The sequence below is a fragment of the Homo sapiens genome, chromosome 2 (assembly GCF_000001405.40).
Source record: "Homo sapiens chromosome 2, GRCh38.p14 Primary Assembly".
NCBI classification, from domain to species: domain Eukaryota; kingdom Metazoa; phylum Chordata; class Mammalia; order Primates; family Hominidae; genus Homo; species Homo sapiens.
The window spans coordinates 120440922-120468383 of record NC_000002.12 but is presented as its reverse complement, the minus strand read 5'-3'; the positions used below and the strand labels follow the sequence as shown (position 1 = coordinate 120468383).

The window sequence follows — 27462 nt, the reverse complement described above, 5'->3', positions numbered from 1 at the left end:
TGGATGACTCCACTCCCATTCGCTCACTCCCACACCTCCCACCCATGCTTGCCTGGCCCTGCCATTAACACTGCAGAAGAACATCCAAGTGTTTGCATTCCCAGCATCCCTTGCTGCCAGGGTTGGCCATGTGACCCACTTTTGGCCGATGAGACACCAACAGGGTGCTCCTGGGAGACCCTCTACTTTCCCAGGGAGTCGAGGCTGCCATCTTGCCACCACAAGGCAACGAGGAGGCCCACGTGCTAAGGACGATGAACAGAAAGCTGGGAAGAGCCCAGTACTTGGCATCACCAGCAGCTGACCAAGGCCATCAACCACTCGTTTTCAGAATTATGATGTCAGAAAAATAAACCTAATTTTGTTTAAGCCACAGTGAGTTGAGATTCCCCTTAAGTGAAGCCAAACGTTTCTATCTGATACCCATGAATGAACGCTTTAACGTGCTCATCAAATATTATGCTCCCTACTTACCTTTTCTTCTTTCTCTTTAAAAGGCCCTTTGCTGGCCCTTAGGGAAAGCCAAGGGGCCCAGGAACTCACCACATGTTTGAATCAGGGGTCTGATGCTGAAGAAGCCAGTGGCAGTATAACTTACCCTAAGCATTTCTCACCTTCTCTACCCCAAATAGGGGCTGGGGATCAAGGACTTCCTGAGGGCTAAGATGAGAGGAGCAGGCCCAGGAGATCCAAGGAACAGACCAGAAGATACAGCCCAGGAAAGGGGGGTTGCAGGCTCAGGCCCTTGGGCCAGCTGGGTGCTCAAGGCTACACCCTTTGTGAGGCTCCCACCCTGGCTCCCTGCAGCCCAAGGGAAAGGGCTGTCTGCTAGTGACCAAGTGGGCGTGATGGGTCTCCTGTGTCTTTGACTCCACCAGACTCCCACAGCCTCATTCAGGGCATAAAGAACCTACAACCTGCCCTTTCTTTTTTTTTTTTCAAGACAGAGTCTCACTCTGTTGCCCAGGCGGGAGTGCAATGGCACAATCTCGGCTCACTGCAACCTCCGCCTCCCGGGTTTAAGCAATTCTCCTGCCTCAGCCTCCCAAGTAGCTGGTATTACAGGCATGTGCCACCATACCCAGCTAATTTTTTGTATTTTTAGTAGAGAGGGGGTTTCACCGTGTTGGCTAGCCTGGTCTCAAACTCCTGACCTCAGGCGATCTACCTGCCTCAGCCTCCCAAAGTACTGGGAGAACTTGACCTTTCTAAAGCCCTAAAAGCTAATGTTTGAGTGTCTGCTGTACATCAGGTTCTTTTCATCTTCATGAAAGTCCTTCGATACAAGACTTTGCATCCCCATTTATAAACGAGGAAACTGAAGGATCAAGAGGTCAAATGGTTCGCCCAAGGTCACACTGCTGGGAAGAGGGGGAATTCTGTTTCCTTCCCAGAAATAACCACCCTACAATAATATGTTGCTTCAGAGCCTATTTTATTCAGTCTCCCAGACAAACACTATTCATTGCCATCTGAGTGCCTTTGTCCCAGCTCTGCCTGTCCCTCCAGCCTGGAATACCCTCTGGCCTCCACTGGCATTCCAGCTTCAAGACTCAGCCTCACTCCCTCCCTAATCATAAACAGCCATCACTTATGGAAAGCACACCACAATATTTTACAGCAGTCCTACCCGACAGGTCCCTGTATCTCTGCTTTCCAGATGAGGAAACTGAGGCTCAGAAAGGAGCATTTTCTGGCCTCTGTCACACAGCTAGTAAGGGGGGTGGCCAGAAGGCAAAGCCAGCTCTGCCAGGGCAGTGTCCTCAGAAGAGCCGAGAGAGGGAGGAGTTGCTTCCAGGTCAAGGTCAGGCCTCCAAAAAGAATGCTTGGTCTGGGCCCTTCTCTCCTCCCCCACACTTGGCCCTGCAAATTGGCTTTGACCTTTCATGCCCCTGCCTTTGAGCTTCTCCCCATTCAATTGAAATCACAAAGGAAGAAAAGAGGGCTGGCGAGAGGGAAAGGCCCCTCCTGGCCCAGGCCCAGGTCCCCAGCCACGCCCCCGCAGGCGCATCGAGCCCTCCAGGGTCTGTTTGCACAGTTGGGGTGCTGCGCTAGGAACCCCACCTCCGGGAGAAAGGCACCACGAGGTCATCTGTTTACTCTGGGATTAGCGGCTCCCCGTGGGAGTTCTTTTCCTACGAGATGAAAAGAAAGCGGACAATCTGTCAGGTAAACAGGCCGCATTGTTCCCAGCCATGTCGGGGGCCCCTTTGTGGGCCGGGCCTTTGAGGTCGGTTGCTCCCTTGCACAGGGAAAGAGCTTACTTAAACGGAATGGAACGGAACGGGAGGCCCCGGCTGGTGGGCAGGTCGCCTGCTGCTGATACAGGAAGGGACAAAGGGCTCGGACGATTCCGGTCTTTCCTTAGCTGCTCTCCTTGCAAGCTCTTTCCTCCCCATGGGTCTCTTGATGAGTCCAACAAGACGGGCATGGAGCCCGATCTCACAGATGGGGAAGCTGAGGCCAGCGGCAGCTTCCCCCAGCACAGAAGAGAGCTCCTGGCATTCCAGCAGGGGGTGACTGGAAGAAAACCAGGGACCTGGTCTAACCACCTCACTCTTCAGATGGGGAATAGCTGGAGATACAGGAAATGGCAGAGTACGATTTCTGCACTGGAGGTTTCCCCAGGTGCCCCTGCTGGTTGGTGGGGAACACAGGAGCCACGACCATCCCCACGAGTTGGCTGTCAGTTTTATGGATTCCCAGAATATTTAACAGCTGAGTGGATGGCACTGGTCAAGGCCGGCCTGTTCCCTCCCACATCTACCCACAAGGTATCTTCCTGGGAAGCAGGGAAGACAGTGTAGGCCCTGCCCCGCCAGTGCATGAGTGTCTGGGAGTCAGGACTCCTGTGTTTGGGTGGCCCTGACTCCAGTTTGCTCTGTGGCCCCAGGCAAGCCACTCACCCTCTCTGGGCCATCCATCAAACAAGAGATAAGATGCTCTCCAGGGGCTAGCCCTTCCTTCGGACCGTGAGAAAAATCTAGGGAGGGCACAGGCATCCATCCATGAGGACAGGATGGAGGAGGGACTACCTAAACCCCTGTCCATCTCTGACCCCCAAGAGGCCTGTGAGGCAGTGGGGGCAGCGCCTGGCCCAGCCACCATCCTCTAGGCAGGGTGCTGCCGTGGGAAGAGAGCACTGTGGTGAGGTGGTGAGACCGCATGCCCCGGGTCACCCTGACCGGTCCAATTGCCTGTCACTCACCAGAGGCCCAATCTTGGGCAAGTGACTCAGCCTCTTGGTGTGCGAAATGGCCCCCATGAGGCCTCCTCAGCCTGGGGGGCTCCATGGCAGAAGGGTTCCAAGAAGGCAGGAGCTGGAGCTGTTCTTGCCGCTGCTGGGAGGTCCTGTCCACCCTCTAGCCTCCCTCTCCCTGATCCCCCACCACTGCCCATTCCCAGTAAGGCACCTATTCTCTTTGCCACCCTGACACCAAGTCACTGTTCAGCTTGTGGGCAACGGAGCCGGAAGCATGGAAAAATCTCATGCTGCTCCCAAAGCCAAGGGAGAGCTCAAAGAAGGCTGGTGGAAAAAGGCCCAGAGCTGTGGCCGGACAGAGTAGGCCCCGAACAACCACAGAGCCGCCTTGACAGAAGCCAGGGCACGGTCCTGAGATGAGCCTCATCCCTGGAGGGCAGCAATGGACCATACACGTGTCTAAGCCCCCATCACCAGCCGGGGCCCCAGTGACTCAGAGCCTGCTCTTCCTGAACCCACTCGGCAGGAAGAAAACTGAAGGCCCAAGAGCCCCAGCCACACTGTGACCTGGAGGTGACCTGGAGGGAGACAGGGTGACAGCACCAAGCTCAGCCTTTCCTCCGAGGCTTCGCAGGACTGAATGAAGGCAAACTTCCCAACACCCCAAGCCATGGGATTGTCCTTCCTGGGGCCCTGACTGAGCTGTGACGGGCTGTGTGGCCCTGGGTGAGTTACTTGCCTTCCCTGAGGCTCATCTCAGCACATATAATAGAAAATGGAGACAAAAGGATGCCCTTTGCATGGGTTTTGGGAAAGATTAAGTCACATGTTTATAAAAGTGCCTGGCAAACATCAGTGGCTCCATGAATATTTGTGGTGTCTGAGTCCCCCACACTGCTTTCATGTCCCCTTTTCCTGCTCTTTCCCTTTTCCCGTTAAGCTTCCCAAGCCTCCAACTGAAGCTGCAGTGTTTTTGGGGGCAAACATCATGGGAATCACAATGACCATAGTAACCATTTATTACAAACATACTATGAGCCAGGCCATGTGCTAATAAGTGTTTTATCTCCATTATATAGAGAAGGCAACTGAGGCACAGAGCACTTAGATGCCCCCAGCTAGGAAGGGATAGAGTCAGGATTTGAATGAACCCAGTTTAGATGCCCTTAGCTGTGCTCTCTAGGGTGATAAACAACTCTGACTTACAGAGCAAAACTGTGTGCCAGGTTCATCACCTCCTGAATTCCACATGCTGGGCACTGCGGTCCCTGCCACAGAGAGGACAAAACTTCAGCCCAGAAAGACTCAGTGTCCCCCACTGAGTGTGCGTGGATGCATGGGAGGTCTGGGTGGTGACTGACCCGGGAAGCCGGCAGGGAAGGGACTCAGTCCTGCATGCTCTGGGATTCCCTTCCTGCTCGCTGCTGCCACCATAGACGCATCGTTCCCAGGGAGCTGTCAGTGCCCTGCCAATGGCAGGACCAGGCTCCCTGTGAGCCGGGAAGCCCTCACCAACGATGCACCCTGGCACTTCCTTTCCGTCTCCAGGCGCCCACACAACCTGCCTCCCTGGAGTTGCCTGTCGTGAGGATGAACAGGGGGCTCCAAGGGGCACCCTGGTTGGAAAGAGGGGTGAGGATTCCTTCCAGGTAGGGGATTGGGGTATGAACAGACATAGATGGGAGGCCTGGACGTCCCCAAGGAAATGACCCGTTACCCCAAATGCCCATCGACCCTTCTACCCTTCCTGGCTTCTGACAACTGGCTCCTGGAAACAAGGTCAAGACTGCCCCCTGAGGACTACCATTTTGGGGAATCCCGGCATCTCGGGGAGACCTAAAGATGTAGGCACCAAAGGAGAAGGAGTTTCCAGCTGCAGCTGAAGCACACCTGGTCGGGAGACTCATAGCAAGCACCACTCCCACCCCACCCCACCCCACAGCCACACACACCACTCCTCAGCCTCCTTTTTTTCTCACGAAGGCTGCCTCAGCAATTCAATTTCCATCAGATTCAACTGGATTCATGTGGCCCAAAGGCCGTCCACACCACAGGTCCTTCCCAACTGCGATGCCACCTGGGCACTCGCTTCCTTGCCAGGCAGCTGGTTCTCCCTGCCCACCATTTATCATTCTAGAAAGAGCTTCAGTTAAGCAGACACTTGCCTGTCTTCCTGCAGCTTCTACCTGTCAGCCACAGAGCAGGGGTGTGGGGGGCACAAGGGCGACTCCAGCCAGATCCCCTGGGGTCTGCATCCCAGCTGGGGGCATTGAGCTTCTGGGGGTTCAGTTCCTGTCTCTGTAAGGTGGGGAGTTTGACAGTCACCCCAGAGGGTTGTTGAGGGGTTCAAATGAGATGATACGAGGAAAGCTTTCAGCCCGGCACCCAGAACCACAGTAAATTACTTTTTGTTATTATTGCTGTTGCTATTTGTTCATTAAGCATCTGCAATGCCTTAAAAATAGCTGAGGGCTCCACTCATGCGCCCTCACCTCTGTGACAATTTAGCTTCTTTAGGCTGAACATACAGCCCCTTCCTTCAAATACCCACTCTGTGTCCAGGTCTCAGACTCTCACCTCTCTGGCCAGACTTTACTCAAGTCCCCCAAAGGGAAAATCTGGAGGAGAAGGAGGAGGCCTCTTTTGATTTTTAGGACAAATCTACAGAACTGAGAGAAGCTTGACCACAGCAAAGAGTAGAATGGGAACCAATCATTACCCAGCATGGAGAGGCGGAGTTCTGCTCAGAATAATAAACCTTTGTCCTTCCTGAGGCTTAAAGCTGTCCAAGGGTAGAAAGGGCTGCCTTGGGAGGTAATGAGCTCCCCATCTCTGGAGGCATTCAAGGTGGATGATCACCCACCAGGGGTGTTATAGAAAGGATTTTCACACTGAGTGGAAAGTTGAACTAAATGACGTCAAAGATGTAAGCTCATCACAAAGAAGAAACAAGTTCATTCCTTCCCTCATTCAACACATATTCATTGTTGCATTCCTAGCCACACCGACCTCTGTGCCATTTATTCTCCTGGGTATGCAGTTCACACTAAGAAAAGAATCTGATTTTCGGAAGCATTTAATGAAAACAGGGCTACTTTGAAGTTGCTCTTGACCTTCACTTTTACATCTGTAAAATGGGTGGGACAATAACAGTGCCTACTTCACACGACCAGCAGACAGACGCTAGAGCGACCTGGCACACTGTGGACCTCAGTGAAAATTGGTTTGTCATTATCGTTAGTATCATTAACATGAGGACTATAACTGAAATCCTGGAAATGTTTCTCTTTCTCTCTCTCTTTTTTATTTTTATTTCTTTTTCTGAAGACCCAAACAACTCGGTATGTACTAAATCAAGTCCTAAGAATCCCACCTAGCTAAAGCCTTCACCCACAGCAGCCGGGACCAGCTTGGTCTGGAAACCAACGACACACCAGTTCTCGGCCCACATCCAAACCCAGCCAGGCACCAGAGACAGGACGTCTGCTGAACCTACATTATCTGCTACCATCATTTCTAAGAAATGGTATCCAAGGGCCAAACAAAGCAATTTTTCTCTGAAGCAGCTTAATCGTGTTGTAGAGGAAAGGGTGGTTCTAACTATAAACCCAACTTGGCTTTTCAAATGAGGGGAAAATAGAAACCCATAAGCCCCTCAGAAAATCTGATGTCAGCCAGCTTCTTGCTTCTCCGTTTCAAGTTACTGGGTACTCCTCTGCTGCCCAAATGGGCCAGAACGAGGGTTACCACCAAGAGGGCTTAGGTCAGATCAGGGCCTGTGCCTGCTGTCCCTTGGGGTCTGATCATGGTCTCTAGACTGACACTCAGAGCCTCGGTGAGGCTTGGGGTGTCTAAGGGAAGAGTACATCTGGGACGTTTCATATGTGGAAGAGCCTGGGCTTGAGTCAGGCCACCTGGCTCCTGGTCTCAGACCTGCCACTCATCAGCTGTGTGAACTTTGCAGGTGACTGAACCTCCCTGAGTCCCCATTTCCTCCTCTGTTAATCGGCACTATTGAGTCCTATCTTTGAAGAATTGGGAGGATTCAGTGAGGCTGTACTCACTAAAAGCCTGGGACAGAGAAGACCCATGGAGTAGTCACTTCCCTCCACAGAGCTTGCTGAATGGCTGAGCCTGGGCAGTGCTGTGCTTTCCCCGGACTGGCCCATCCTCCCTCTATCAGGAAAGGTGGGTGGTAGACAGGCACCAAAAGGACGCAGAAGACAGGAGGGGTGCTGGGCTGAAGGCTGGGGCCTAGGGAGTGGCCCTGGCTGAGGGATGAGGGCTGGCTTTTTGGGGAGAAGTAGAAAGGGGTTTCTCCACAGTGCATTTGATGCAGAGCTTTCAAGCACCTTCTGAAGGCCTCAGGGGAGAGTCTGAGCTCTTGCTTGAGGAAACAAGAAGAAGCTCAGCAGGAGGGGACTGAGGAGTGGGCGAGTCAGCCGCTGAATGTGTGCAGCACTGAGCATGGGCGAGGCTGCTTGGGAGACCCTGCAAGGGTTTGGGGGACCCTTGTGAGGACTGACCAGGACCGCCTGTGCTCTGCTCAGGGCATGTGTTGTAAACACGGGAGACTCAGGCCTTGACCCAGGGAACATGGGACTCAGATGCAAATTCAGTAGTCCTCGAATTTCAGTGAAATCGGCGTTACTTAGAGAACTGCTCAAAATACAGCAGACCAAGAATTTCACTTCTGAAAGGTGAAAAGAAGTAGGTGCACTGGCTTGGGACCTCGGAACCCAAGAAACAAGATGGTGGTGAATTGCCTGGGTTTTCTTTTGCCTTATAAATTCCAGACTTGGAGCTAAACAAGCCAGCAACCCAGAAACACCAATGAACACAGATGGAAAAAAGAAAAAAGCCCTGATACAGTTTGGATCTGTGTCCTTGCCAAATCTCAGGTGGAATTGCAATCCCCAATGCTGGAGGTAAGGCCTGATGGAAACAGGTGACTGGGTCATGGAGGCAGAATCTATCTCATGAATGCTGTAACACCATCCCCTTGGTGTTGTCTTCATGATAGCGAGTGAATTCTCACGAGATCTGGTTGTTTAAAGGTGTGTGTCACCTCCCCCTCACTCACTCTCTCTTGCTCCCACTCCCACCATGTGAGATGCCACCATGGCTCCCTGTTCGCCTGCTGCCATCATTGGAAGCTTCCTGAGGCCTCCTCAGGAGTGAGCAGGTATCGGTGCCATGCTTTCTACACAGCCTTCGGAACTGTGAGCTGATTAAACCTCTTTTCTTTATAAATTATCCAGCTGCAGGTATTCCTTTAGAGCAATGCAAGAACGGCCTAACACATGCCCCAAAGGAAATACAAGGGAGAAGCCTAGCAAGACAGAAAACTTTTAGTCAATAACCACTCCATTCTAGTCAAACAACAAAGAAAAAGTGTGGCCCCACCCCAAACCCATCATCAATAGCTGAGTGGGAGCCTAGATTTCCACCCAAGCTATACGGAGGAGCCTCAATACCCCACTGGGTGGTATCAGAGAAGGCCCAGTGGGGAGCCAGCACTTTTACTCCCCATTGAGATGTTCTCATGAATTATTTATTGCTTTCTAATTTGATTCCATTGCCATTGGAGGAGACATTCTGTAGGATTTGAATTATTTTAAATTTGTTGAGGTTTGTTTTATGGTCCAGGGTGTAATCTATCTTGACATATATTCCTTGAGCATTAAAAAATAATATGTATTCTGCTGCCTTTAGGTGGTGTGTTTTATAAACGTCAGTTGAATCCTATTGGTTGATAGTGTCATTGAGTTATTCTTGCTGATTTTCTGTTTAGTTGTTCTATCCATTGTTTAGTGAGGGAGTGTTGAAATCTCCAACTATAATTGTAGATTTGTCTTTTTCTTCTTTCAGTTGTTTTTGTTTCACTTATTTTGCAGCTCCATTGCTATGCATGTTTAAGATTGCGATGCGTTTTTGGTGTATTGAACTTTTTATCACTATGTAATATCCCTCTCTGTGTCTGGAAATATTCTTTGCTCTGAAATACTTTATCTGATACTAATATAGCCACTCCTACTTTCCCATGATAAATGCTTTCATGATTTATGCTTTTGCATTCTTTTACTTTTAACTTACCTGTATCATTATTATTAGGGAGTTTCTTGCCTATAACACATAGCTGAGTTGTGCTTTATAATCCACTCTACCAATCTCTGTTTTTTTAATGGCTGTATTTAGATCTTTTATATTTAATGTAATTATTAATATTTTGGACTTCATTCCATCATTTTATTTCTGTTCTCTGTTAATACTCTGTTTCTCAGATGTGTGTTTTCTATTACCATCATTCCTGGAATGAAAAAAAAGTTCCTGGGTCACTGGAACATTTTTTACAATTCCATTTTGATTTACATATAGTGTTTTTGAGTATGTATCTTTTTGTATAGCAACGTTAATAGTTCCTGTAGGTATTACATTTTATATACATAACTCATCACCATCTATTTGTATCATCGTTTTATCAGTTTGAGTGAAGTATAGAGACCTTACTTTTCTTTACATCCTGTTTGTAAATGTCTTAAATTTTTCCTCTAAATACATTTAGAACAATACCGGACAATGTTATAGTTTTGCTTCCATCATCAAGCATAATTTAGAAAACACAAGAGGAGAAAGAAAGTTCATTATATTTATTCATGTTTTTGTTTACTATGTTCTTCCTTCCTGATGTTTCAAGATTCTTTACTTTATCATTTTCTTTCTGTTTAGAGAAATTCCTTTAGCCATTCTTTTAGGGTAGATGTGCTGATGACAAATTCTTTTAGTTTTTCTTCATCCAGAAATGTCTTGATTTCCCCTTTATTCCTGAAGGATATTTTCACTGGGTATAGAATTATGGGTTGACAGTTCTTTTCTTGTAGCACTTAAAATATATTATGCCACTTCTGGCTTCTATAGTTTCTGATGGTAATTCTACTGTCATTCAAATTGTTTTTCCTCTATAGTTAAGGTGTCATTTTTCCCCTGACTGCTTTCAACTTTTTTTTGTCTTTAGTTTTCAGAAATTTAATTACAACTGGCATTGATTTTTTTTTTTCAATTTGAGGTTGTCTTAGTAGCTCAGGATGTTATAACAAAATACTACATACTGGGTGGCTTAAACAACAATTTGTTTCTCACCGTTACAGAAGCTGAGAAGTCCAAGACCAGGGCACCAGCAGATTCAGTGTCTACTGAGGGCCTGCTTCCTGGCTCATAGACAGCAGTCTTCTCACTATGTCTTCACATGTTACTCAGAGAGAGAAAGCAAGCTCTTGCAGAACACTTGTAAGGACACTAATCCCATTCATAGTGGTGCTGCCCTCATGACCTCATCTAATCTTAATTAGCTCCCCAAAGCCCTACCACCTAATACCATCATGTTAGGAGGCAGGGTTTCAACACACGAAGTTTGGGAAACACACATTCTGTCTATGACAAGGATTTTGTCATCTTCTTGATTCTGCAGACTTGTCTTTTGATAAACCTGAGCAGTTTTTAGCCATTATTTCTTTGAGTAATTTTTTCAGCCCCATCCTCTTGCTCTTTTTTTTCTGGAATTCCAATGACAAAAATGTTAGAACTTCCATATAGTCCCACAGGTTCTCGAGGCTCTGTATTTTTTGTTTCTTTAGTCTATTTTGTCTCCATTATGCAGATAGGTTCTACCATTAAGTTCACTGATTCTTTCCTCTGCCACTTCCATTCTACTGTTGAGCTCATCCACTGAGTTTTTAAATTTCAGTTATTCACTTTTTGAGTTTGAAAATTTTCCATTTGGCTCTTTTTTATACCTTTATTTCTTTGCTGAGGCTTGCCATCTTTAAATTTGTTTCAACTGTGTTTGTAATTGCTTATTGAAGCATTTTTACCATGGCTGCTTTAAAATCTTTGTCAGATTATTCTAACGTCTCTGTCATCTTGGTGTTGGTATCTATTGAATGTCTTTTGTCACTCATCTGAGATCTTCCTGGTTTTTAAACCATTTGTTTTAGTTGGCTTTCTCTGACACCACTCTATCAGCAACAGTAGGGGGCAATACCTTGTTACCACCAGGTGGAGATAGAAGTCCAGGTTCCTCCCTTGGCCTCCAGTGGTGGAGTGGGAGTTCTGTGTCCCATGAGGTCTCCACTGCTACTGAGGTGATGGTGGCATCATTGTCATGGAGAATGTGAAAGCCATGAATTTCCAGTAGGCATCCTCTTGCATCACCCCAGTGTGGGGAAGGGGAAGAAAGTGAGGCATCTCTTTATGGATGAGTGGGGACGAAAGTCCCCACCCTCACTAGACCTTCTCTAACACCACTCAGAGAGAATGTTGGGGTGCCTTATTACAGCCTTGCAAGACTGCTAGTCTGAAGGCCCCTTGGCCTTTGCTAGAGGGCTGGAGACGGAACCACATTTTCCTTCTGTGATGTTTGGCTGGAGTAGGGGGTTACCGTTGAAAATTTTTTCATCTTAAACCAGATATTGCATGTTCTCACTTATACATGAGAGTTAAATGATGAGAACACGTGGATACACAGAGGGGAATGACACACACTGGGTGTGAGTGTTTGGAGGGTGGAGGGTGGGAGGAGGGAGAAGATCAGGAAAAATAACTAATGGACACTAGACTTAATACCTGGGTGATGAAATAATATGTACAACAAACACCCATGACACACATTTACCTATGTAATAAACCTGCACATTCTGCGCATGTACCCCTGAACTTAAAATACAAGTAAGATAAATAAATAAGAAAAATAAAAAACAGGCCAGGCATAGTGGCTCACAGCTGTAATCCCAGGACTTTGGGAGGCCAAGGCGGGTGGATCATGTGGTCAGGAGTTCAAGACCAGCCTGGCTAACATAGTGAAACCCCATCTCTACTAAAAATACAAAAGTTAGCCAGGTATGGTGGTGGGCACCTGTAATCCCAGCTACTCAGGAGGCTGAGGCGGGAGAATTGCTTGAACCCGGGAGGCAGAGGTTGAGTGAGCCGAGACTGCGCCATTGCACTCCAGCCTGGGTGACAGAGCAAGACTCCATCTCAAAAAAAAAAAAAAACCAGAAAAGAAAAATAGAAAACAAGTTTGTCTTGTTAGTTGGCCCCTTTTCTGATCCTTTGGCTAGAGGGGCTTTTTTTTTTTTTTTTTTTTACTGTGCCAGTTAGGGTTTCTGGGCTGGAAGGCTCTTTATCTCCAAGTCTGAGATATATGAGGAAAAAAATAAAAAATCCATGGGACTTACCACCATGTCATCCAGAGGTCCCTGGACAGTCTGCCACCTCTCCACATTTCAGAATCCTTTTATGTTTGTTTTACATATCATGTCCAGGGTTTTTTGTTATACTTAGCAGGAGGAATTGGGCAAGTACCTCTACCCCATTTTCCTCTACAGGAGGATCTGAAGCCCCTCCTGTCTCCTGTGTTCTTTTTATATGCACTCTTTTTTTTTTCAGTACTATATTTTTTCTGCCTCAACCCTGAAGTCAACCACTTCTTCAAGGAGCCCTGGTAGCTTTTACTGGAGAATTGTATTTAGAAACCAAGGACTGTGGGCTACATGTGCTCATTGCAATGGCTTCTAGGCCCTCATAGTGGACAGAGTTAGGAAACACATGTTTATACACTAACCCACATACACACATGTGTTTACATTTATTTCTGTCTCTCTCTCTCTCTGTGCATCTGTGTATGTACAGAATTCATTATCCAATCCAACATCACGGGATTCATTATAGCATTCTCCTTTTGATTATTTGTAGGTTATTTCTCTGAAATGAGACACCTGGCTTTCAATATCTACAATAGATTTACTTATTTGTTCAACCCTAGCATACATGTACAGTAGTTTCAGAATGCTAATTTGTACCCCCGTGAGAAACAAATTTACCAACTAGAAGGCAGTGTTTGTGAACAGTCCTTTTTTACTTAGCCTTACTGTTGTCAAACAAAACACTATTTTCCAACGTTACTGAGGTTGCCTCCTCGTTCCTCACCTCCTTCAGTGTTACTCACTTGTGATAAGCGTGATTCACTGGTCACGTCTGCATTCCATTTTGGCTCCCCCACCCCCACACTGTAGTTGATTTTTTTAAATTTGCATAGTGCAAAATTCACTCTTAGTGGCAAATAGTTCTATAGGTTTTAGCACGTACTTACAGTCATGCATCCAACCCCCACCGCATCAAACAGAACAGCTCCATCACCCTCAAACTTCCCTCGCCAGGCTCCTTTGTAGTCAGCGCCTTCTCCCGACTCTGGCAACCACTGATTTTCTTTTTATTCCACTGGTTTTATCTTTTACAGGATGTCATATAAATGGAGTCACACAATATGTTGTCTTTTCTTTCTGGCTTCATTCACTTAGCAAAATGCATTTAAGATTCATCCTTGTTGTTTTGTGAATCAGCAGTTTCTTCCTTCCGGTTGCTGAGTAGCATGCCATCCTATGGATGTGCCAGGGTTTGTTTCTCTGTCTCCTTTTGAAGGGCCTCTGGGTTGTTTCCAGTTTTTGTTGATCATGAATACAGCTGCGGTAAATACTCACATGCAGGTTTTTGTGTGGACGTAAGTCATTTTACTTGGGCAAATATCTAGAAGTGAAATGGCTGGATCATATGGTGTGTTTTGTTTAGCTTTTTAAGAAGCTTTCAAGCTATCTTCCAAAGTGGTTGTACCTTTCTGTGGTCCTCCTGGTAATGTATGAGAGAGCCAGTTGTTTCACATTCTTGTCAGCCCTCAGTATGGTCAGGTTTGCTTGTGTATTTCAGGTGTCCTCATATGGGTGTAGTGGTATCTCACTGTGGTTATAATTTGCACGTCTCTGACAACTAATTGTGTTGATCATCTTTTTATGTGCTGATTTGCCAACTGCTTATCTTCTTTGCCCATGTGTCTGTTGTTTTTTGTTTGTTTTTGAGACAGGGCCTCTGTCCATCACCCAGGCTGGAGTGCAGTGGCATGATCTCCAACTCCTGGGCTCAAGCAATCCTCTCATCTCAGCCTCCTGAGTAACCAGGACTACAGGTGCACCACCATACCTGGCTCATTTTTGTGGAGACGTGGTTTCGCCATGTTGCCCAGGCTGGTCTCAAACCAGAGAGACTAGATTTGACCCTGGCTGTGTCTCCTCTGACAACCATCCTTGTGGCCAAAGTGCAGCAGTGGAGCTGACCTGGAGGGATGGGGTACAGGGAGGGTAGAAGCTTCTCTGCAGAAACCCTGCTTTTCCCACTATCTTCTGGCTGTCTTCTCCACCCTGGTCAAGTGGAATTCCTTACAGCAGATCATGTTGGCTATTTTCAGGTCTCCTACTATGACTTGGTGGGGTTGAGGAATTTCCTCTTGACCAGCACCCCAGGGTGACTCATCACCTGCAGTGAAGATGTCATGCCTTATCAGAGCCACATTCAGGCCACCCTCTGTACTGTGGGCCCAGACAGACTCTAAGCCTGACTGATACCCTGGTACAGTTGCTGTGGCCTCACGGCCTAGTTCATATAGTTATGGACAAGCCACGTCTGAAATCTTTCCAGTAAGCAGTGGGACGGATCCTTGTGTTGAAAGAACATGGGCTGCCACATGATCTTCTGAACTGCCGCCCATGTTGTGATGTGAGGTGGAAGCTTTGTCATTAACGAGACATGGTTATGTGCCTGGGGACACGGTGACCACCTGCTCAGTCATCTGTAAATGCCGGTCTGTGAATTGTCCCCATTCTCCACCTACAACAATCCATGCATGCATTCATTCATTGATTCATTGATTCCACAGCCCCCGCCTGGGGCCAGGCATGTGGGGTGAGGGTTGGGGACTCAGAGGAGGTAAGATCCAGAATCGCTCACAGGAAGTTCAACGTCCAGTGCAGACCCTGTCCACCCAGCAGGCCCCACTCAAAGATCACTGTGACTGGCCCAAACGCTCATGTAGAGAAGGAGGCATTGGCTAGGGTGGGGGTGGGAGTGGAGGGCGAAGGGGTCTCCACAGGCAGGCCCCACCTTCACCTTCCTCACGACAACTTGCTGCGTCCCTCTCTCAATCCTTACAGTAAAGTGAGGCCAGGGCCGCCCAGCTCACAGCTACCCAGCCCCTATCCCAGCAGGCAGCTGTGGCCCATGCTGCCCTCGGACCCTCCAAATGCCCACAAGGAATCCCAGGGCTTCACTCTCTTGCTGCACAATTGGGATTGTGTCACCTTTGTCTCTGGACCTTCTAGAAAAAGGAGGGTGGGATTGGATACTCCTGAGTTTAGAGCTCCGTGCAAAACAAAGTCACAGTAAAGTGTGATGATCTGGTAAGGGGGAAGAGAGGCTGTCTTTTCAGAGACTCCTTTTCCCTCCCTCTAATGAATGCAAGAACTGTGCTTAACCCAGGGGAGCTGGGAGCCAACCTGTAAACCGAATCCTCCAAGGCCAGCTTGGGCTGTGACTTCATTCATTCAAATCATCCACCAAGCATTATTTTGTGTTAGAAATACAGCAGTGAACATATCCTCTCCTCCTCTTTTCTTTAGACCTGCAGGGCCTGAAGAGGCAGCCCCACGTCGGAAGGGACAAGAAGTTAATGAGAAAATTACAAAATTTACATAGAGGGGCAAGAGACCAGCTACACACATCTGCGGTCAAAAGCAGATCTCATCCAAGTAAAGTGCTACCCTCACTCTTTGAGGCAGGATATGATTGCAGCGCTGTCCCTCTCATGCTGGCTGTGGCCCTGACATCTGTGCCTGCAGCGTCTGGGAGGTACTGGCTCCTTCCCATGTGGCAGGGGTGGTGGGGGGACTCAGCTTTGTGGCACTGCCAGCCGACCCCCAGCCCTGGTGGGCACCCCTGCGTGCTGCAGCTCAGCTGCTGGTGGAGAACCCGCCCTGACCTGGCACCTGTGGAGCTGGGCTTGGCTCCGTGTCCTGAAGAGCACTCCCTGCTTCAGAGAGGGCCCTTGCATCTGCTTGGGCAGTGGGGATGGAGTGAAAGTGGGGAGAAGCTCTTCTTGTCCCTGGTGCGGGGCTCCCAGGCCCCTTTCTACCCAGAGTCTCATTTCTGACCAACACTGAGGTTCACAGCCCTTCTGTGCTGCCTTGCCAGGAGGCCACTGGGGGACAGAGGACAATTCTCTCCTGGGATTCCAGCCAAGGTGCCCTGAACCCCATTGCCCAAATCCCCTTCTATGGCCCTGGGCAATGTATTTTTGCAGGATTGAACTAACGATACGAAAGTTCAAATTAGTTCCAAACAGTAACAATACAATAGAACCTTCCCTTCTTCCCCATCTTCCAGGCCCACGCTAGCCCTGCTGAGCAAGCCGGCTTTCCCAGAAACTCTAAGTCTCCCCACATTCTATTCTCTGCCTCTTTCTCCCTATTTTCTTCCAGGTCCCTCCTTCTGGAGGCCGGGAGCCTCATACTGTTCAGGTCCCTGCTGCCAAGAGTCAGATAGGCCGCTCCCCTGAGGATCCCAGGTTTGGGCCCAGCACAGCCGAAAGACCCTCTCTTGTAGCCTGGAGTAATTTCCACACAGGCCACAGAGACTTCACACATTCCAGAACCAGGCAGATTTTCAGAAATGGGAGCTGCTATTGGCTGGTGCATCATCTCATGTCTCTCCGACCCACGCAAGCTGAACAGCCTCCAGCCTCATTGGTGACACCCTGCTGGCATTGAGGGCCAAGACAGAATGGTTCTGAGCTGCCTCTGCATGCCTGAAGACCTCAGCCTGCCGCCCGCTGCCCCAGTAACTCAGGGGGTCCCCAGCCCTCAGCAGCACACCTGCCCTGTTCCTCCACTTGGACTCCTCATCAAGGGTCCTTGTCCACCCCTCATGCTGACCCCCTTGCCATGAGTGTTGCAACGTCCACACCACAGTGCTGTCCCCACATGCTCCCGCAGTACCCTAGGTCCCTCCAAGAGCCCCACCCCCACACTCTGGCTCTACCTCTGTATCCACCTGGCTTCTAAACCGGAGTCCTCCCCACATCCATTCAGGCCCCAGGTGTCCCAGGGGACTCACCAGGTGGTGAACTTCTACAAATCCCCATTGGGACCCCCGGATAACTGAGTTGAATATTATTTTACAGATAATGAAACTGAAACAATTTTTTTTTCTTTTGAGACAGGGTCTCGCTCAGCCTCAAACTCCTGGGCTCAAGCACTCCTCCTGCCTCAGCCTCCCAAGTAGTTAAGACCACAGGCGTGCACCACCATGCCCAGCTAATTGTTTTTATTTTTTGTAGAGATGGGGTCTCACCTTGCTGGTCCCAAACTCCTGGGCTCAAGTAATCCTCCCACCTCAGCTTCCCAAAGTGCTGAGATCACAGGTGTGAACCACTGTGACCGGCTGGAAGCAATATTTTAAAACCTGGAATTCAAATAACAGGGCACCAGCTGTGGAATATACACCTACGCAAGAGGAATGGCAAGAGAAGAGATCATCCCGACCCCGTTGGTGGGCTGGATGGAGCAACTTCCGCAGGAACGAGGCACCTCGGAGGCCTCTACTGGCTGAGAGCAGCATCCTGACCAGACAGCAAGCCCCAGAGGGTCTGGGGGGATCCAAACCCACCCCTGCACAGGTTTGCTGTGAACCAGGTGGGAGGGAGGGAAGATGGGAACGAAGGTGAGAGAGGCCTGGGGGCCCGTGAGCATGAACTTGGAGTGCTGAGCACTCACCTAAATGACAGCATCAGCGGGGCAGGGGGCATCCTGCCTTCTGCCTCCCTGAATTCACAGCTGGAAAGTGATCCAGGTCATGCAGACTCACTCCCACTGACTCATTTGTCTCACTCCAAGCACTCGTTTCCCGGCTCCACTTGCTACTTCCTTGCAGGTCTTGGGCACCAATTCCAGATTCCTGGACCTGTCATTCTCTGGGAGAAGGGTCCTGCTCTGAACCACACCAAGCCAGGGGCTTTCTCCAGATCACCAGCCTCATTTGGCAGATGAGTGAAATGTGGCTCAGACATGCCCGGAAACTTGGCCATGATCACAGAGCTGACAATGGGCAGAGGAGGGATGGGAACAGGATCTGCCTGACCCCAGAAACCCATGCCCTTCCCAGAGCATCCATGGCCTTACACAGGCCCGCCTTTCCCGGCCTGCTTCAACCTCCTTGGCCTCCCACATGGCATTCACCAATCTGCCTGCTTGGCCAGGTCTCCCCTGCCTTTTCCACTCATCTCACACTTTAAGCCCACCTCCTTCAGGAAGCCCTCCCTGCTCATCATAACAGGTATTAGATATTGATACTCCTACATACACACACACACACACACACACCACCCACCCCCAGAGTATACACAATCCTACATTATTTTCCAAAAGTTTCTCCTATTAAATCACTCCCCTGAACTCTACCAGGTATCTGTAATAACAGTGGGCATACAGCAAGTAGTCCATAACTATTCTTTGGACTTGAACTAAAATTCATCCCCTTTCTTCTGCCACCTTCTTGCATCAAGGACTTCAGCCTGAAACCAAGGCAGGCATGAAGAGAAGCCGATTTGGGGCTGCAGTCTAAGTGCCTTTACCTGACAGCTCCACATGAAGAGACCGGCCAGGGCTCTTTGCTCCTGGCCAGGAGGCCCCAGGAGGGAAGGATTCCCTGCATCCCAGGGATCACAAGTCAGGGAGGCCCTCAGTGAACATTAACTATGATGACGACGTAAACATCATGTCTCAAAGGCACTAGCTGAGACTCCAAGGATAAATGAAGGTTGGTGAGCAGTGGGGAATGGGTGGCTGGTGCTCTGAGCTGTGCTTGCCCAGCGCTGAGGCCTTGGACTGGCCCCTCACCTCCCTGCCTTCACTTCCTCCCACTGGATTCCGCATCCTCCAGATCCCAGTCTGGGTGTGCCATGGCTTTCCTAGGAACCTCCCTCGGGCCTGCTCCATCAGGGATGCAGTGGGCGGAACTACCAATCATGGCTGCAGTCTGGCTGCAGGGGGCCTGGCAAGGTGCCCTGAGCTCCCCTGGGCAGGTGAGTGAAAACCTGCCGGCGGGGGCTGCAGCCTCATGCGTTTGTGATCACAACCAACTCAGGCAGTTTTTGGTTTCACGTTTTCCTTCATTTTCCCTTGAGGGGCACCTCATACTGGGAATCCCAACCCCTTTGCCAGGAGCTCTCACGCAAGGAAGGGCTCTGGGCAGTTCTGCTCTTAGAGCTGGGCCCTGCCCGGCCCACAGCACCAGGCTGGGAGTTACTGCAGGTTGGGACTCCATCTGATCCGCTCCAGAGAACTCAGCAAATGCTGGGCTGGTGCTCTACATGACACACTTGAAGTTTGTAATTCATTTCCAAAGTAACATATACTCATTAAAGAAAATTTGGAAAATGCATAAAAGCAAAAATGTAATATCACATAAGAAGCATCACCTATAATTCCACCAGCTATAGATGTCTGCTTCTTACATTCTGGGATCTTTTCTTTCAGGTGTTTCTATGCCTCTATACTTTAAAAACAAACAAATAAACGAACACCAAAGCGGATTATATTAAGCACTGTTTTGATACCTGCTAAGCCGAGGCAGCTCTGTGTGATACTATTCCCCTAAGCCTTTAAGTATTCCTCATGTTTTCTAGCAATTACCCAGAGTGAAATCATACAACATCCCCTGAGGTAGCTAATCAATCCCCCCTTGCTGGGCATTGGAGTCGTTTCTAATTTTCATTATTTTACACAATACTCCCCAGCCACGGTTGTAGCTGCATCCTTGAGGTCCTCCTCAGAGCCAGATTAAGAACCGAGAGGCCTCCAAGCACTGGAATTATTTGGTGCAGTCCCGCAACAAGGTGCACCATTAAATACAAGGGCTATTCTGCTTTGCTTGAGGTATTACATTAATTTTCAAATGTATTTCTTGCTTTTGGGGGATAGCCCTGCTCTGCTGGCACCTCCCGCATAGGCTAGTTCTTTCTGATGTCTCTGCATAGCTATGACTATTACCTCTGGGTAATTTTCAGGAGAAGGAATATCAGGATCAAGGGTTCTCCAAGTGTAGGGCTTTGTGGTCCATTGCATCTGCCCGCTCACCACAGAATCCATCACCTGTCACACACCTGCACTTAGTAACCCTCTGCTGAATAATGGATTATTGCCAAACGTGCCTCCCCCCGGCCCCCACTTGGCTGTACAATTGAAATGGTATGCAACTGGACAATAGATGAATCAGGGGTATGATGATCTTGGGGACAGATGTCTTGGGCCCTCAGGTGTGCCTGAACCCAGAGGATTTGGGGCAAGGGCAGACTGTCCCTGTTCCTGTGTGATTGGAGGGTGCTGCTCAGAAAGTCCCAAGCTGCAGAGCTCGGAGTCCCAACCCTACAGAGCCAAAGAAGTGGGGCCCACACTACCTGAGGCAGAACTGGCCTGGCCACCGCCTGGCTGCATGGCCTGAAGCAGCTTCCTCTCCCCTCTGGACTCATTTTCCACATTCATAAAATGTGCACGATGAAACATGCAGCTCCTCTTTCTGTGGCTGCCACTGCCCCTGAGTGTGACCCCAGCTGCCTCTTTGACAGCTCAGGGGCTCAGGCTCTAGCAGGAAACACAACTGGGGCCCTCCGCATGGTGGCCAGGCCGGTGTGACCTGGTGCTAACCTGCTCTTCCAGCCTCATCTTCTGCAGCACCCTTCCTGAAGGTCAAAAGCAGGCTGGCCACACAGCTGCCCCCATCGCCTGGCGGGTCCAAGGCTGGCCACTTTTCTCTCCAAGGTGCCCCCATCTGCCTGCCTGTAGAAATCCCACCCATCCTTCCACATCACCCCTTGCTCCGCAAAGCCTTTCTGAAGGCACCACTTTCAGGGAACCTGGTTTGCGTTTTAAGCCATGGCCCCTATGACAGCATCCCTGGTGAGTGTACAGATGTGTCACCTCTCTTTGAAAGCAGTGGCCATGGCTGGGTTCCCTGGCAGGGACTGAATGACCAAGAATGATGGGGGAGGGCAGTGTGCTGGGGTTTGTTTTGTCTGTTGTTTTCCCAAACCGGTCCCAGTGACACTACAAAGCCAGAAGCACAGAAATGCACACAGAACTGAAGACTCAAGGGTAGAAGATTCTTAGCCACCAAGACCTCACTCATGGTGGAAACGTGCAGAATTCTGAGATGTGGGCAAAGCCATTGCCAGGCCCCTTCCAGAACTATGCCCTGAGCTGGGACAAGCCCCTCACTTTCCCTCTGCGCACTCTACCTGTTTCCCTCTTGAAACAGGCCCTTCTTTCAGGCCAGCTTGGCCTTCTCATCTCTGCAGCAGTATCTGCCCACATGGCCACCCCCCGATTAAGACTGACTGCCCCAGCCACCCTGCCCACCCAGTGCCAGCCCACCCAGCACCTGGCACAGCAAATTAACTCGGGAAGGAATCCTTGACAGGCAGCTCCCATGACCTTCTTCTAGGAAGCCATCCCGGACTGCTTTGGCCCTTAGAGATCTCTTCCTCCCCCAGCCCCTGACAGAAACTAGTCTTTGTACCACGCTTGTGTGATATTTATCAATTAATGTACCATATTACAAGATTGGGGTTTTTTTCCCCATTTGGCCCAAGAAATGCATGTTTGATAGTAAAAACAGGGTTGGACAGAGGTGGATGATGTACTAGGAGGACTAGCGGGGAGCTGCGGACCAAAATAGCTGAGCCTCCAGACACAGCACTGTAACCTGTTGCTGGCGGGCCCAGCAAGGCTGTGGCCTTGGATGAGGTGGCCCTCCACAGCAGAGGCCTCCCAGGAAATTGACAGCTGGAGCTGTGTCCTGGCCTTACTCGCTGCAGCTGGGCAGCAAGGACTTCCGTGGCAGAGGCGGGGCTCTTGGTGATGCATGTCATGTCCACCACAGACAGGAAAGGAAGATTTTAAAACAACCAAGGGCCAGGTGCAGTGGCTCACGCCTGTAATCCCAGCATTTTGGGAGACCGAGGAGGGCAGATCACTTAAGATCAGGAGTTCAAGACCAGCCTGGCCAATATGGTGAAACCCCATCTCTACTAAAACTACAAAATTAGCCGAGTGTCGTGGAGCACACCTGCAATCCCAGCTTCTCTGGAGGCTGAGGTGGAACCTGGGAGGAGGAGGTTGCAGTGAGCTGAGATCGCACCACTGCACTCTGGCCTAGGAAAGAGAGCAAGACTCCATCTCAAAAATAAAAATTAAAATTAAAACAACCAGGGAACAATTTTAGCACTCAGTTCAGGGATTGCCAAACTATGGCTCCCAAGCCAAATCCAGCCCCCTGCCTGTTTTTAAAAATAAAGTTTTATTGGGACACAGTCGCGCTCTTTTTCTCTGGTGGATGTCTATGGTCTTTGGCTGCTCTGGTGTTACAAAGGTAGAGGTGAGTCGTTTCGAGAGAGACCATATGGCCCACAAGGACAAAAATAACCACAAACTGGCCTTTTATAAAGTGTGCTGACCCCTGCTCTAGTTGACTCCTTTGGGGATGGAAGCCTAGCTCATGATGATTCCTTTAGGAGTTCACACCACACACACACACACACACACACACACACACAGAGGCACGCACAGGGACAGCACACAGTGTCATTCCCGTGCTGTATTTAGTGTTCTGGCCATGATTCATTGGTCTTGGAGAATGCACTTGACTCAGGCTGAACCAATCAGATTCTTTGTCACAGAAATGTGAAACCAAGCATCAGGTACTGGATGGCCTTGCTTGATGGGAAAGATCACAACTGCTCTTGCCCAGGTCTCCAGAGCTGCCCTGATTCCAACCTTCCTGATGTTCTAACCTCAGCTCCACCCTCCTTATTATATGAACTTGAGCCAGAGGCCAGAGTGAGCCTCAGTTTTCTTATCTAGCACAGCAGGAGACTAGACTGAGCAGAAAGGGTCACTGTGAGGATGAAATGGAAGGATGCACACAAAGTGCCCAGCATAGCCACTGGCACCTGTTAGATGCTAAAAATGGGAGTAGCATTTGATGTAGCAGCAGCAGCGATGATAGTAGTTGCAATCATCATAATAATATTATTACTTTTTGGCATCGCCAACGGCCTGCTGATCTTCCCTGTCTGGATCCCCGAGCAACACTTCCAAGTCTGTATGGCAGAAAGTGACCCCATTACATCGCCATCTCTGGTAGCCAGCCTCCAAGGTGGCCCCAAGCCCCCAGCCTTCTGTACTCCAGCGCTGAGTGCCCTCCTCTCACAGTGAATCAGAGCTGGTCTGCAGGACCAAGTAAGTATGAGGGAGTCTCCTGGATCTCATGAGGGGAACCAGACACCATCTCATGAGGACACTCAAGCAGCCCTGTGGAGAGGCCAAGTGGGGAGAACTTGAGGCCTCCTGCCAACACCTAGCACTGCCTTGGGAGCCATGTGAGTGCACCATCTCAGAAGCGGACCTTCCAGCCTCGGTCAAGCTTTCAGGTGACCACAGCCCTGGCCAACATCCTGATTTAACCCCATGAGAGACCCCGAGCCAGGACTACACAGCTAAGCTGCTTCGAAATTTCTAACCCACAGAAACTGGGAGTCATATAAAATGTTGATTGTTGCTTTCAGCCACTACATGTTGAAGTAATTTGCCACAGCAAATTAACACACTATATAAACCTGTCTGTCCTAACACGTCCTTGTTCCAGGGAATGCCATTCCCTTCCTCCTCATCCCAAAAGCTCACTCACTGCAGTCTCATTTCTTTGCTGCATCCAATCTGCTGATTGGACATCTCTTGATGCCAGCCTCTGTTCTCTTGTCCCATTACTCTTGGAGCAATAACAGCCTTTTACTGGACACTCATCATGTGACAAAGTACCTACTTCATGCCCTGTTTTTGGTGCTGAGTTTGCTCACAGAAAGTCACAACAACTGGAAGAAATAAGTTTGTTGTCCCTGTTTTTAGAGTGGAGACACCTGAGACTCTGAGATGCTCAGTAACTTGCCTGAGTGCCCAACCCCTCCCCAGCAGGTTAATTAGAGAATCAAACTAGAATACCATTTTGCCCCAAAGCCCATGTGCTTTCACCAGTGGGCACCGAGGCAAGGCAGCTCAGCTCTGGCTAAAATGCAGATCCGACCATCTGTCCTGCCCTGCTTAAAAGCCGACAAAAGTCCCCCACCCCAGTGCCCCTGTCCTGTCCATCCTTCAAGCTCAGGTCAGTTGCTGCTCCTTGTGCCTGACACCTCTCATTGAACACCATCTTCTCTCCTGGTAATTACCCATTTGCTCTTGGTTTAGAGATGGGCACACATTCCATCTCCCACAGGAGACAGTGGGGTTCTCAAAGGAGAGACCGCCCAAGGCCCACTTGGTGCACACAGACCCATGGGAAAGGATTTACGTATGTGGGTGGAGTGACTGTCACATAATTAATAACTGAGTCTATGAGTGAATATGCTCAGAAATCAGTGATTCAATGAATCAATAATGAAAAGCTTTCTAAATGTGTGGCTTACGTCATGAATGAATGATGGGTTGATTGAATAGGACACTGCCTAGATTTAGGGTCCTGAGACTGTATATGTGTCTTTGCCAACAGCAAAATATTTTATTACATAGATGATCGAGAATAGTATTCAAAATATTTAACAAACAGTACACCATGGGCACCAACCGCTCAGGATGGATGCCTCCATAGGCTGGGTCAGGCAGAGGGTCTCCCGTTGGGCCCCTTCAGTGCCAGATCCTGGGAGGCTGGGGGCGTGTCCCAGGAGAAAACTAACATGGCGGAGGGCACAGGCGGCACTGGAGAAGCTCGCGCACAGCCCCTTATCAACCTTGCGGGAGCATGTCAGTGTGGCGCACCGGGGCCTGCTGGCGGATGCAGGCCCGCATGTGGAGTTTTCTGAGCATATCCACGGCCAGCCCTGGGCTGAGCTTGACTTGCAGGAGCTCATTCCATCCTCAAAGAGCACCATGAGGTTGGGACTACCGTTGTCCCATGTTACAGTGAGGCACAAGAGGTCGCACAGCGAGTAAGTGGCGGAACCACGACCTGGCCCAGGACTGCCTAGCAACTGCTGGGCAGCCTCTCCGCGCAGCGTGAGGCCCCAGAAGCCCGGGCCTGCGGTTCGCCTGCGCGCGCTACCTGCGCAGGTGCTGGGCGGGGCCGGCAGTGGGCCTGGTCTTTCCGGGCCCGGGATTGGTGGAGGCTCCGGGGCTGACAAGGCGTGGCCGGAGGCTCGGCCCTCCCCAGTTTCCTGCTCTCCCGAGCCGAGTGGCTCGCCCTGATGCGGAGCCCGGCGGTCACGGGAGAGAAGGTGGCTGTCAGGCATGCCCCTGGCGCCGCGACCGCGCCACGGACGGCGTTTTCCAGGCGCAGTTGCCACTGTCCACTTGCCACTGACCAGCCGTGGGACTTCGGGCAAGATGTCACCTCTCCGAGCTAATTTTCCCCATCTACGAAATGGGATGACGACGACGTGCATGGCCTTTCCGGCCTGGTGTGCAGATTAAAGAAACACCTATATGCAGGGACCTGGACATTTACTGTCACTCTTCTACATTGTTGGAAGCCCTGGGCAGTCAGGAAAGGCCACAAGTGGCAGGGGTTGGTGGACTCTTGCGCCTCTCTGTCCCAGTGGGGGCAGAGTGGGGAGCTTGGCTGGGTCCCGCGCCCCTGGCGCTGCGCTGCGCCCCAGCCTCCTGCTGCCACCCCCAGCCCTCCGAACTCCTCCAAAGGCCGAATCATTTCTCCTTCCTTTTCGCTTTTAATCACAAAATAATTTTGGTGCCCAGAAGCCTTCCTCTCGGAGGAACATTTGTGCGGGATGATATCAGCCTAATTAAGCCTTCAGCTTCGGGGCTTGATTTCTTTCCCCCCAGATCCCGGCGCTCCCTGCCAAGCAGCCCTGGCCGGCCAGGCGGCCGGCTACCTGCACTTGCCGGGTTCTGGAGCCTTCGGGGCCCGTGCGCCCCCCTGCCCCCGCGCCGTGATTGATATCTTGATTAGGCGCCAGGAGTTGGCGGACCAGGTGTTACCTCGGCGCGGGCTGGAGGCGGCGCGCTCTGCGAACCCGGCCCTGAAAGGCGCAGGCATGTTCCGCGGCAGCAATGAGCCTTTGTTTGCCTTGGCAGCGCCGCGGCCTCCCTGGGGCCGGCCCCATAAAGGGTTTCTGTTCGGGCTGGAGGACTCATTGTCAAAAAATTGTCCCTCGAAAAATTAGCATGGTACAGTGGAGAAAGCGGAACGCCCGGCAAATGACAGCTGCTGGCCCCAGACAAGGTCCAGAAAGCGGAGTTTTGCGGGGTGCCCGCTCCCAGAGGCACCCCTCCCTCCAGGCCTGGAGAGGGACGGAGGGGTGGCAGAAGGGGCCGGCAGGGCAAGGGCAGGCAGGGGTCAGATGGGGAGTGCAGCTGGAATTGGGGTTGATGGCTTACCTTCCCTAAAAGGTGGGGCATCTCCCAGGGGCCAGGAGGCCAGGTCTTTGGTATGGGGTGTTGGAGGGCTTCTGAGCCAGTGTCAGGACCAGAGGGGCAGCTGGGTTGAAGAAGCGGGGTGAGGTGAGAGGGGGGAAGAAAGAGAGAGAGAGAGAGGGAGGGGGGGGAGAGAGAGAGAGAGAGAGAGAGAGAGAGAGCGCCTAAAGGTTATGTGGTTAATTGAACATCAACAGCCACAGATACGATTATGCCCCTTTGTGTCTTTCTCCCAGTGTGTTGATGGAAAAGTAACTAGATTAAAAGGGCCGGGAGCTCGGGTTGGAGGGGCCGGGCAGTGGGGGGAGAGCCCTTCTGAATGCCGACCCGGGGCTCCCGCAGTCCCAGCAAGGAGGGAAAACAGTCAATTAGAGAGGAGAGAAAAGATGGAGTGAGCTGTGGCTTGGCATTTGCATAAAGGCTGGGCCCCAAAGCTGCCACCCTTCGAGAGGGGGGCAGGGGTTCCCAGGAGAGAGGTTGGGAGTGTCATGGGGGTGAGGCACATGGTAACTGTTGAAAGTCTCCGCCCGAGGCCCCTATGCACACATTGCACATGAAGCCGAAGTAAGGGTTACTGGGTGTGTGTATGGAGCATGTTGACGTCTGCGCGTGCGTATTCTTGTCATATCTGTGAAGTTGCAGACATCCACATTTCAAGTGGATTGCACCTGTATAGCTTGTGTTGGCCTAACTCTCTGTGTTGTGACCATGTGCACAGATTTATGTAGGTGTGAAAAGACAGTGGGGAAAATCCCGTGGGGCCTCTCTGATGGGGCCCAAGAGCATGGCTGGGTCAGGGGGATGTGGATTTGCTGACTCGATCCCACCAGCACAGGCAGGCCATGGCCTCGAGGTTTCCTGTGGCCCTAAGGAGCCTGGACCTGGAACTAACCCCCAGGCTCGCTGGGT

The 27462-nt window shown here is 50.4% G+C and overlaps 1 long non-coding RNA gene across 1 annotated transcript, besides 5 other annotated features; it reads left to right on the top strand.

Annotated features, from left to right (window-relative positions):
- Positions 1739 to 2281: an enhancer, noted in NCBI's record as "OCT4-NANOG-H3K4me1 hESC enhancer chr2:121223679-121224221 (GRCh37/hg19 assembly coordinates)". NCBI's record gives its function as "activates a minimal SCP1, AML or CMV promoter by ChIP-STARR-seq in naive and primed H9 embryonic stem cells {active_cell/tissue: H9 hESC(naive and primed)}" and the evidence as "EXISTENCE:reporter gene assay evidence [ECO:0000049][PMID:30033119]".
- LINC01101 (long intergenic non-protein coding RNA 1101) lies at positions 2035 to 4049 on the top strand. The gene has a single exon (NR_027181.1). It is a non-coding gene; the product is annotated as a long intergenic non-protein coding RNA 1101 (long non-coding RNA).
- Positions 11066 to 11627: an enhancer, noted in NCBI's record as "NANOG hESC enhancer chr2:121214333-121214894 (GRCh37/hg19 assembly coordinates)". NCBI's record gives its function as "activates a minimal SCP1, AML or CMV promoter by ChIP-STARR-seq in primed H9 embryonic stem cells {active_cell/tissue: H9 hESC(primed)}" and the evidence as "EXISTENCE:reporter gene assay evidence [ECO:0000049][PMID:30033119]".
- Positions 13958 to 15157: an enhancer, noted in NCBI's record as "MED14-independent group 3 enhancer chr2:121210803-121212002 (GRCh37/hg19 assembly coordinates)". NCBI's record gives its function as "activates an origin of replication core promoter dependent on BRD2, BRD4, P300/CBP and CDK7 cofactors, and independent of MED14, by STARR-seq in HCT116 cells {active_cell/tissue: HCT116}" and the evidence as "EXISTENCE:reporter gene assay evidence [ECO:0000049][PMID:35650434]".
- Positions 16793 to 16949: a silencer, noted in NCBI's record as "fragment chr2:121209011-121209167 (GRCh37/hg19 assembly coordinates)". NCBI's record gives its function as "represses an EF-1alpha promoter that drives an FKBP-Casp9 reporter gene in an ReSE screen in K562 erythroleukemia cells {active_cell/tissue: K562}" and the evidence as "EXISTENCE:reporter gene assay evidence [ECO:0000049][PMID:32094911]".
- Positions 25644 to 26269: an enhancer, noted in NCBI's record as "H3K4me1 hESC enhancer chr2:121199691-121200316 (GRCh37/hg19 assembly coordinates)". NCBI's record gives its function as "activates a minimal SCP1, AML or CMV promoter by ChIP-STARR-seq in primed H9 embryonic stem cells {active_cell/tissue: H9 hESC(primed)}" and the evidence as "EXISTENCE:reporter gene assay evidence [ECO:0000049][PMID:30033119]".